This window comes from Homo sapiens, chromosome 5 (genome assembly GCF_000001405.40).
Source record: "Homo sapiens chromosome 5, GRCh38.p14 Primary Assembly".
NCBI classification, from domain to species: Eukaryota; Metazoa; Chordata; class Mammalia; order Primates; family Hominidae; genus Homo; species Homo sapiens.
Window position 1 is genome coordinate 147,044,039 of NC_000005.10, and position 12,155 is coordinate 147,056,193.

The 12,155-nt window shown below is 39.7% G+C and overlaps 1 protein-coding gene across 6 annotated transcripts in view; it reads right to left on the bottom strand.

Annotated features, from left to right (window-relative positions):
* Positions 1-12,155, bottom strand: part of PPP2R2B (protein phosphatase 2 regulatory subunit Bbeta) — a 500,779-nt gene that overhangs the window by 463,297 nt on the left and 25,327 nt on the right. For 2 of the 6 annotated variants that reach the window (NM_181676.3, NM_181674.3), the window contains exon 1: positions 11,627-11,923. The exons of the other annotated variants lie outside the window; for them this stretch is intronic. In NM_181676.3, the coding sequence (NP_858062.1) occupies positions 11,627-11,705 (79 nt within the window). In that variant the 5' untranslated portion in view covers positions 11,706-11,923. Of the gene's footprint in view, positions 1-11,626; positions 11,924-12,155 lie in introns of those variants that run through there. 6 annotated transcript variants of the gene reach the window in all.

The window sequence follows — 12,155 nt, forward strand, 5'->3', positions numbered from 1 at the left end:
AGCACTAAGTGAGCTAATACATTAAAACATTAGAATAGGGCTAGCCACCTAAATGCTTATTACCACCCTGAAGTCACAGGGCCCTGCTTGAAGGAATTTGAAATCTTTAGGCTGTACAGAGTATGAAAACCCTCCTCATTCTCATGTTGAGTTTTCATGTGGAAAGGGCCTCAGGTTTCTTATTTAGTAGTTCTAAGAAATAGATTTCAGTGCAATTTAAAGACTTAGGCATACTTGGCATTGTCCAGAAGTAGAATGGCCAGGTTTGAGAGGGAGCAATCTCTCTGTTGCTATCTGGTCAGGAATGTTGTGAGGGGGTTCAGGGCACCTGTGAAGGGCTGGCATAGATGAATTCAGAAGTCTTCTCTTGCATAGAAATTTTATAATTCTTTCTAATGGGATGGGAATAGGTGTGCTACAAGACTGGGGCAGCTCTGTTTTCCTTGCATAATATATTTTCTTTCTTTCTTTTTTGTTTAAAAAGTGAATTGTGTTGCCTTTAGACAGGGCTTGAACTCACAAATTCATAACAGCCAGTATCATGCTTTTTTTATTTTTTAAGCTTCTGCAGGATTTTACATTTGGGGTTCTGACTCACATGCTTAAGCATCCTGTCATCTGGGTTGTAGGACGATGAAAGGATTATTAATTAAGGTAGACATGGCATCCTAACCTTGGCTTGTAAGACTGACTGTTGGTCAACTCCCCTGAGAGGGCTGCCTTGCTGTTTCTATAGGAATATATGCAGCAGAGCATATGCACAATTCTAGATGGAGGCTTTGACACAGCAGCTATATCTTGCTGAATAAACATGATATGAAAACATTCTTAGTGGTTCTGTCCTAAGTCTGCCTTTCCTTTTCTTCCAAACATCATGCTTTTGCAAGTGGTCTGCCTGGAAGAGCAAATTCACTCCTATGCCTGGAATGTTTACTGCTATTCCAAACAGAACAGAATGTGTTTCTGCCACTGCTTATTGAGAATAAAAAATTCTTTGTCTGGATGTCAAGACAATAAACAGGTGTCCATGTTTATAAAGCAGTTCTATTCAGATACAGTCACAGATAGACATTCAGGAATTTGAGGGCATGCCTAGAGCCATTTACAACTCTACATAATGTAACAGTAAGGACTGTTTCTAGTGACCACTTATCTCTGTTTTGTGTGTCCCACCCCTTAAAATACATTCATGTACTGCATAATGACATTTTGGTCAATAATCAACCACATATACGATGGTGATTCCATAAGATTTTCAAATTGTATTTTTACTGAATCTTTTCTATGTTTAGATATGTTTAAGTCTGGAAATACTTACCATTGTGTTACAATTGCCCACAGAATTCAGGACTGTAACATGCTGTACAGGTTTGTAGCCTAGGAGCAAAAGGCTATACCATATAGCCTGGGTATGTAGTAGGCTCTATGATCTAGGTTTGTGTAAGCACAGACTGTGTTTCCCCAGTGATGAAAGTGCCTAACATGCATTTCTCAGAACATATTTCCATCATTAAGCGATGCATGACTGAGTGCTAATCTGCTCTTAGCTCTTCTAATGTATTCTCCTCACAGCAGTCCCAAAAATCTTTTCATGCCGCAAATATGATATATATATATTTTTAAATGTACACCCCTCGATAATTTACAGTTGCTCTCTGGGTTAAGATGAAACTTTGTAATTTATGTTACAGAGACGTACAGGGTCACATCACTTGATAGCTTCATCTCCACTGTACCCCATCTTGGTCTCTGTGCTCCAGCTACATTGGCTTTCCCTCAGAATCTTGCTTTCACCATGACCCTCTGGGGACTGGGCCTTGCAAATGTACTCTCCTTTGCCTAAAATATCCTCTTTCTCATGCTTCCTAGTTAAGTTTGACTCATCCTTCGGATCTCAGCTCAAGTAACACTTCTTTAGGGAAGCTCTCCTGATCTTCGTGTGCATAATAAAGCCTCGTTAGATCTTGTCCTAATGTCATATCCTCTCCACTGCTGCATTTGTCACAGTTTACATTAATTTCTTAGATTAATTTATTTGCCTTCCATAAGAGCAGGAACCATATCCATTTTTACTACCTGTGAACCCATCACCCAGCTGATATCTGACACATAATAGAGATGTTCTTTATGTGTGTGTTTGTATTTTTTGAATAAATGAATAAATAAATGAATAATTGCTCTTACAAGGCAGTTGACAGAATACTGAATTTGCTCCCAAAATTTCCCAAAAAGTGACATTCTCGTGTATCAACAATAAGATCCAGAGCAGGCTTTCATACATATCTTCGAAGTCATACATTTCTTTGCCTCCTGTTTGCTTTTTCTACTAACTGTGCTTTTGCAGACACTTGTGAAGATAAAGGCCTTGGCCCTCTCAGCCCATCTTTTCTCTCAGCTCAATCTGCCAGTGAGGAAACAATGACTCAGAAAACTAATGAGCCAGTCCCTCTAATGATGGCAATGATTTCACTGCTGGTGATTTTTCTATTAGTTTTATAAAATTGAGTGAAAATGAAGGAATTGCCTTGGGGCACAAGAACCAAAGACAAAAAATAGATCCAGAAACACAAATCAAAAGAGCACTGATCAGTGTATGTTACAGGCAAACAGTAGTCAAGGTGATGTAGGTTGAAAGAGTCAAAGAATGAAAACAGGAGCCGGCATTTTCAACTAAATATTTCATATCACTAATCCTCCCTCACTATTTTTACCTGTAAAATGTGGATAATACCATGCAGACTTAGGATAATCATCCTCCTGTGATAACACAGGGAGAATGCCTGGTGCTCAGTTGGTTTTTATTAAACTTGAGTCTGCGTCCTCCCTCTGCTAAGTTCCTTATGGATTATACTAGAAACTCCTGCAAATGGGTTACCACTCCCAGCTTCTGATTTAATATGGGAAGATTTAAGATGGGGACATACTTCCCAAAGCACATATCACTTAATCTGACACCAACACCACCAAGTTTCATTATATTGTCATTTGACTCTGAGGCATAGCAGGATTAGCCAATTTCTCAAGGGACATCACATGTGAAGAGGACTGGAATCTAGATGACCCTGAACTGCAGGCCCAGGGTTCTTCCTATCACCATGTTGTATCAAAACACACAAGCATAGAGAGGGATAGGGAGAGATTTGTTAAAGGACACAAAATTACAGCTGGATAGGAGGGATAAGTTCCAGTGTTCTATACCACTGTATGATGACTATAGTTAACAATAATGTCTTAGTTACAAATATCTGGGAGGAGAATATTAAACATTTCTAACACAAAGAGAGGATAAGTGTTTGAGATGATGAATATGCTAATTACCCTAATCTGGTCACTGTTCATGGTAGGTATCAAAACTTCACTACATACCCCATGAATATGTATAATTATTTGTCAATTTTAAAAAAATTTCTTAAACTCCACCCCCCAAAATGTACACAGGCCAAGAATTGATTTCTGAGGCCTCTACTAATATAAAGAGTATTAATAATAGCTAATTTTTATTAAGCTCTTAATTTGCACTGGGTAATACACTATATACTTGGTATGAATGATCACATTTACTCACCAAAGCAATTGTCTGATATATGCAAAATTTCCCCCCCTTTTTATAGATGATAAAATTAAAGGCCAGGAAATAAAATGACTTTCTGTGTATTAGGTAGATGTTTTAGCCAATACCTGAATATAAACTCTTAAAGCAAATTCACAGCTACCTTGAAGCAAATAAGTGCTCAACATAGTTTCACTGAACACTTAGGTGGATGACAGTGACCTTGATTCTTCCCATGGCAGCCACTTTTCTGCCAGATATCAGAAGCCTTCACCAAAAGTAACCTCTTTTCAGCTGCAGATCTACTGTCATTTTAGAGAGATTTTCTCCCAGAGCCCTTCCCTTGTAGTATATTTCTCTATCCTGGCCATTGTTGAGTTCTTACCTCTGACTGTACATAAGATTCACTTGGGGAAGCTAGAAACTGAGATTCCTGGGGCCCAGTTCCAGGGGATTTAATTCAATAGGGCTGTGGTAGAGATAGCCCTGTGTATTTGCCAAGGTGATTCTCACGCATAGCCAGGGTTAAAACCTACTGTTAGAGTTGTGTGCGTATGCATTTTTCCCTCCTGCTAGACTGTATACCTTAAAGAATAGATGAGTGTTTTTTATCTTTTAATTACCCATGTGCTAAGAACAATGCCTGAAATGTTGTAGGCAGTCTTGTAGGGCAGCAAAGAGCCTGGACTCTGGAGTCAGGCAGTATGGGTGCATACCCTGATCTATCACATTTTGGCTGGGTGGTTTTCAATAGGTTACTCAGCCTTTCTGTGTCTTATCTGCTCACCTGTAAAAAATGAAAATGGGGAAAATGAATAGTACTTATCTCATAATATTTTTGAGAGATAGTAACTGTGAAGTACTTAGCACAGGGCCTGGTAAGTAATGAGCCTACAATAAATGCTAGCTTTGTAGGTAAGCAAAACATTTAATGGACTATCCTTAGTTATTGCTGTGGTGAATGCAGTGGGAAATATGAAAGAAGAATATGATGCCCCATTCATTGAATATTCACAGGCATTATGCTAGGTGTTTTACAACACTTTTTTTCACTCTCATAACAATACTTTGATATATTTTCATTAGAGAAGGAAATACACCAGTTGAGTAATGGAAGGTCATCCAGCAGGTAATTACGAGTGCTGAGATTGGAACTCAGGTTTGTCTAGTTTTGAAACCCATTTCCCCTACTTTATTACTAAGACTTAATATAAACATTCACTCATACATTCGTGCTTTCAATCCACAAATATTTATTATATGCTTAATATGTGGGAGAAACTGTTCTGCCTACTGGAGATATAGAAATGTATAAAACAGAGAAAGCCTTTGCTTTCATGTCACTTATATTCTATAGTGGGAAAGGACAGGCAAAAAACAAGTAAATGGATGTATAACAGGTCAGGTAAAAATAAGGGCTGTGAAGGAAAAATAAATAGGGTAAAACTAGCTGGGGGTGAGAGGAGAGGCAGAGAGAGAGAGAAATCGATCTTGAGAGAAAGGGAATGAGCATGTGTGTGTGTGTGTGTGTGTGTGAGATATTTTACATAGGAAGGCCAGGAAAGGATTCTCTGGTGAAGAAACATTTGAATGATGGATGTGATAAGACGCAATTGGATTCCTGATATTTTTAGGAGGTGAAGCCCAAAGGATGTACCATAGAATTGTAAGAATGATATGAGAGAAAGAAGGAAATTGAGGATGGCTCCAATGTTTTTGTCGAGTCTCTAGGAGAACAGAGTTCCCTCTTATTTCCTAGGCTGGAGAAGAATACTGCACAAACAGGGCTTTTTTTTTAGGAGGGAAATCAACAGGTCTGTTTTGAGATCTCTACTATGCATCTGATTGGAAAGGTTGGCTAGGAAGTTGGATGTACAAGTCTGCATTTTAGGTGAGAGATTGGAGTTGGATATAGAAATTAAATCAATGATATATAAGCCCATAGGAGTGGATGAGATCACTTACGAGCAAGTATATGTTAAGGAGAAGACTGATTCCTGGGCTTCAATATTTACAGTTTAGGAAGATGATAAGGAAGCAGCAGGGAGTCTGAGACTGCAAGGGAGAGGGAAACAGAGAGAAAGAGTGGGTTTTGAGGCCAAGACAAGAAATCCCTTCAGGAAGGATGGAGCAATCATCTGTCAGTGTTGCTGAGGGCTGCAGTGGGAAGAGGCCTGCAAAGGCATGACTGGACTCTGCAATGTGGTGGTCATTGTTGACTCTCACAAGAGCAATTTTGGTGGCATGATAGAAAGTGCAAATCAGAGGAGAGGTGGTGACAGTGAGTGTGGATGACACTTTCAAGGCATTTTTCTGAAAAGAGGAGCAGGTGATGGGGCAGCGGGTGAAGGAAGATACAGGCTCATGAGATCAGTGTTTAAAATGAGATGATTTATAGCATGTGTGTGGACTGCAAAACGTGATCCTGTAGAGAGAAAAACCTTGGTGCTGACAAAGTAGGAACAAGTGCAGGAGTGATGTGCTTGAGTAAGAGAGAGGGGAGATGACCCAGCTTAAAGTGGAGGCTTGGCCTTAGATGAAAGCAGGGATAATTCATGCATTGTACATAAAATTCAAAAAATATGTTTCAGACATAAAGCAATATCAAACAATGTAAGGTTTTTGTCTTCCTTAATTCTCACAATAACTCCTTGAGTTGAGCATTACTATTTCCATGTTACAGACAAATGCCGTGTGCACTTGGAAAAGACTTTAAATGTAGGTGTGCATTTATAAGATGAGAATGATGGATGAGAAAATGAGTAGTCAGGGAAAGCTGTGGGTGGAGGTGCATTTGACGTGGGCTGTGAAGAGTGGGTTGGTTCTAAATATGTGAAAGGGACTGAGAAGAGAATTTCAAACACATGAAAAATAAGAATCCATAAATATGAAAAAGGTACAAAATATAGTAGTAATGAACCCATTCTTAGCATGTACCCTGGAACTAGACTGCATGGGTTCTAATCCTAGCCCTTGCATTTAACAGCTGTGTGAACTTAGACTACTTAACTTGTCTGTGACTCGGTTTTCTCATGGATAAAATGAGGATAACAGTGTTGACCTTATAGAATTGTTAGGGATAAACACACACACACACACACGCATCCATACCTACATTGATATACACACGGTGAAATTGTGCCTAGCAAATAGTATGCATCCTATGTTTTACTTATTCTTGTATTATTATTATTTATAATATAACAAAGAATTAGAAAAATATGATGTTATTTTTCCCTCTGTGTGTGTGTGTGTAGATTTCCAGCAAACATGCTTCCGGGTGTCACTGGAAGATACTTGCTTTAAGATATGTCCTCCTCTTGAAGGAGCATTGTTGATAGAATATGGGTCAGTTTGTTTATTCACTCTCCCCACCCTCCCATTGAGTCCTTCATTTAAGAAGGATTTCTTGAGCATCTACTCAGAGTCAAGCTCTGCACTAAACCGGGATGCCAAGACTGAAGATGAGTAGGGCAGAATTCCTGTGCCCAAGTAGCTTCTGGCCACTCAGGAGACAGACATGTAAATAGACTGTTTCAATGTAATCCAAAGGCTGTTCTCATACTCAGAAGGAAATGTGCAGTGTGATATAAAGATTAAGAGTACCAATTTCGGATTCAGAGAGTTTGGACTTGAGTCTTGGCTCTACCACTTCACTAGCTGTGGTTCTGAATAGGTTGCGTCTGAGTCAGTTTCCTCATCTATAACATGGAGACAATGGCGTTTAATAAGACTGTTGTGAGGAGTGAATGAGATGGGACAGGCACAGCCCTTAGCACACAGCCAGTGGTCCACAGGGTTCATGGTGCTGAAGCTGCTTCTTATTTCTTCTTTCCAGTCTCCTTGTGGTTTGTGTGACTCATAATAACAACTTCATTTTTGGAGTTGTTGAAGACATCTTCCTAGAAAGACTTGACTCAAGCTGAGTTTTCAAGCATGGGTAGAGAATAGCAGCATGGAAATGAGATAAAGACAATTTCGGGAAAGGAAGAAGCACGTGGCAAGTCACAGTACCCTTGTCCCTTTAGGAAAAGAAAGCGTCCCTACTGATTTCTTAGATAACAATAACAGGCCCTCCAGTGCCTGGTGCCAAATTAGGTCCACCAGAAAGTACCAGGCAAGGTTCCTTATACTTCACTGACTCTCTCATTTCTGTTTTGCTTCCTTTTTTTTTTTTTTTTTTTTTTTTTTTGAGATGGAGTCTCATTCTATCGCCCAGGCTGGAGTGCAGTAGTGTGATCTCGGCTCACTGCAACCTCTGCCTCCCGGGTTCAAGCAATTCTCCTGCCTCAGCCTCCCAAGTAGCTGGGACTACAGGGGCCCACCACCACACCCAGCTTGAATGGCTTCTTTACAGCTATGATTGGAATTTTGTTTCTCCAATTCTGATACCACTTTTGTAGATGAATCCTCCCCTACCAAGGGGAAGGAGTTATGTGCTTCCTTAATGAGGTCCACAGAGAAGGAAAGACAGTCCAATCCTCTTTGCAAAACCCTGATTATGGATCTGCACTATTTGGTTGCCCTGGCTTCTGTTTGTATCTTCTTATTTCAAGTTAAAGAACATTATAATAAAACTAGTTCCTTAAAGTATGGTTACAGAAAGCTCCCCAAGCCACAATGATGAAAACAATTTTCATGCATGTAGGAGTGAATGCTTTTCAGAATATTTTTCACATATGGTTTTGGAAATTTATCCATACAACAGCCTTGGTATTTGTCATCTTTCATTCAACAAAAATTTACTAAGCACCTATAATGTGCCTGGTATTGTTCTGGTTCTGGAGGTACAACAGTTACATGTGGGTCCTGCTTCCAGTACAGCAGGGAGACAGAGACTAACAAAACAGTCACATTGGTTTGCTCATAATGACAAATTAGGGTAAGTGCTTTGAAGTAAGAAACCCAGTTCTTTAAAAGCTGTGATCAGCTGAGCATCAGGATGGCTTCTGAGCTTGAGCTGAGAGTTGAAGGTTGGAATTAACAAGGCAATGGGGCAGAAGGAAAAGAAAAGCAGCCCAAAAGTCTATGGTGGAAGGGAGAATTTTGAGGAACCAAAGAAGGCCTGTGTGTCTGGGGACCAGGCAAGATGGAGTATGTTTGACCTCAGGCAGGAGAGTCGGGCGGGGCTCAGAATATGCAGGCCCCGCTTGCCATGGAAACCATAGAGAGGTTTTAAATGTGAGTGTTTGTGTTTTAGAGTGTGGGGTGGTAAGATAATCATATTTTTAAAAATTATTCTGACTGCTACATGGAGAACCAAATCTCCTCTAATGTATGAAAAAGCAGGCGTGAGGGCTCAGAGTGAGGGAGGGGAAGAAAAAGGAACCAATAGTTGTGAACCACATATTGTTGATTTACCCTATATACAAATGTGTTACTATATATAATGTGCTTAGATAATGCCTTTGATACACTAAATACAAGTGAACGCTGGTTATTACTATTATTATTATCACCCTGCTATGTCATTTTGAATGTATTTTTTTGCAACTATCCTGTGGAGTATTGTTACCTATATTTTTAAATGAGGAAACTAAGCCTCAGAGAGGTTAAATAAGTTCTCAATATCTCTCATTTGACATGTAACAGAGCTAAGATTCAAAACCTATGGCCTTCCTGCATTAAAAAAAAAAAACACACGCGCACACAAAAAAAGCAAACAAAACAAAACAAACAAACAAAAACAATGACAAGGAGAAGTTGGGAAGACAAGCCAAGTTTTCTAATTAGGATGGTTCTATCCCCTAAGAAGCCCAGAAATTGTTGAAGCTCTTAAATTAGTTCTAGAGTTTCTCTTAAGGAGATTGTTTGGGCTATTTGTATTTATTTGACTTTCACAGAGATATTCACACACTATTCATTCTGCACTTTTTCAAATTAATAAAATGTGAAGTTCACAGCCATATTTTTTTTCTAGCACAGACTACAGGGTGACACGATTGCCAACAATATAAACACACACACACACACACACACACACAACCTCAGATGTATACTGATCACTTTTTTCCCCAGACAAACTTTAAGTAAGTGTAACCAGTTTCTGGTGGCAAAGTGATGTGTTTGAGGAAACCACTCATTGCTTAAGGTAATGTGAAAAATAAAGCAAACTTCAATATCTAAGAAAACACGTGGGGCATGGGACTCAAAAACAGACGGCACCTATCATGTGTGGAGCATTACAAAGAACTTTATTCAGTGGTAACAGTTCATCTCAACATCCTTGTTATAGATAAAACTGGGCATAGAGCAATCAAGTGACCTGGCACTGCTTTCTTGGTACCTTGGTACATAACCCATGTCTTTTCCACTATGTCCCAGAGCCTCCTCCACGATGTTAATGTTTGGCAAATGCCATTTTCCTTACCCATTGTCTTTATTAGGTTTACAACAAATTTAAATACATGCCTTTCCACCCTCCCACCCTGAAATCTGGTGATAGTGGGTGAAGCAGAAATTGTTTTGACATAAGCAAAATGAGGTTTCCATTTTAATGAAATAAATCAGTGAAATTTAATTTTCACAAACAACTTTAAAAGTTCTTGTTGTAGCAGGTTTTTTTCTATATGATATAGAATGTTTCGTTTAATTAATACACAAGACAGCAACTGAGTAGACCAAGTGTTTAAATTTTCAAAGTCTAAGCAGGCAGGAGAGGACAGGAGGACCAATCAGAAATACAAAAGTCATCTAGGCAGTTTCTCTATGGCTTTAGATCTTTAGTATTTGAAAAGTTCTCCTGGAGATTTTAGTCCATGCCATTTTTTCATTCCTCTCATCCCCTCAATATGGATAAGGACTTACTAAGTTTTTCTCCACGAGGAAGAAAAGATTTCTCAGTGGACCATTTCCTTTTGCCACCAATAAATTTTTAAAGGGAAATGTCCAACTGTAAAAAAAAAGTCCATGAGATATCAATGTCTATGAAAAATACCACCCTCAGTCTCAATTCAAGGGTGATCCCAAATGTCTACTCCCTTCCCTGAAGGTACGGATAAAAAATTACCTTATGATATAATACAAGCTTCCTTCATTATAAACACACAGCCCCCAGTCTCAGGATTCTACCTGGAGGATGAAAACAAGAGTGGGTTTTCAGAACAGGCTGGTCGCCAGCTCAGTTCCAAGAGAGTGTGGCTAGACATGAGTTGGAGTCACAACACCTCAGCATCCTCAACCCTTTTCAATCAAATGCCACTAGTAGGACAATCCTTAAGCCTGAAAAATGTCCAGCCAGTTGCTTTTCTTGAAATTGTTCTTTTTCTAGGATATGTCAGATCTAAAACACAGGCACATCACATATAGAAGGTATACAACCAGCTTCTGACTATAGAAATGTGGAATTCTGCAGTGCTTAGTTGAAAGGGAATTGCCAGAATGTTTACAAGGCACACATACACGTATGCATAGCATGCTAGGTTAGAAGGCAGCAGAGAAGGTCCCCAGAAAAAAACAGGAAATGGGGAAGGTGTAGAAGGCTCAGCCTACCCTCTCTTTAAAGCATTAACTTAGGACCCCCAGAAACCACATTTCATGTAAGTGCTGAAAGTCAGCTGTGTTCTTACTGCTCTGTAACCCAAGTACAGACTCCAAGTGAACCAATCCAACAATCAACACTCCACAGTGATGTACTAAGCTAATTCTACTTTGCTAATTGCTTTCTTGGGCATGCACCAAGTTATCAAACAGACAGTGACAAAACAGAGAGCTCGGACAGATGTATGTGGCAGCACCTACTGATTTTTGTTTTCTTGACACTGGTTCCAATGACTTGTTTGCATGTTAAATGAAACAAGGAAAATTGGCAAAATATTTCTGAGTTATTTTCTAATTAGCTGTGTCAGCTTTGAGATTACCTCTGCAACATTATTCTGTTCTTCAGAAAACACTTCCCTTTCCTTGTACAAGACAGACTGATTTCAGAAGCAGATCTAAGTCTGTTGGATACAAGCTTTTGCCAGGAATGACAGTCACCTAGTAGCTACAGAAAGCAGCATCAGCAGAACCCGTGGGAAGTCAGACACCAGCCCACTTTTCCCACCCACCCAGACACTCTCCCTCTCTGGTCTGTACCTTCTGTGTGGCAGCTGGAAGAAAGGATGGTGTTCGGAGGTCTGAAGATGTAAGGCAGGTAACGAGAGAAGCATTTCATCTTCCAAATAAAAAATAAAAATCTAAATAAAAAAACAGTCTCCTGAATCCATAAGGATTCTCTCGGCCTTTTAAGCTGGCTACATCACCAATATGTTTATGTAGGTTCTTTCCCAGATTTGCAAAGCTGGGGTGCCCGAGGAATAACTGGAGATGGGTCCCATTTTGCCATCAGCGCCAGGAAGCACTGCCTTACATTTCTGCATGCAGCTCAAACTCAGAAGCCCCCAAGCAAGCCGGGATATAGCCTCTTCATTGGCTGAAGCTCCTCTGAACAGGATTTGCTGAGTAAGTCAGTCCTGCCTGTAAACACACGCTGAAATGCTCTGCCTGAAACCTCTACCTTTTCCCGTGTGGTGAGTTTCTCTTTTCGCAAGAGAAATCCAGCAGGATATGGGAGTAGTGAGGATAAGTGACCATCTCTTATTTAGCTGAAAGATCAGATGAAACA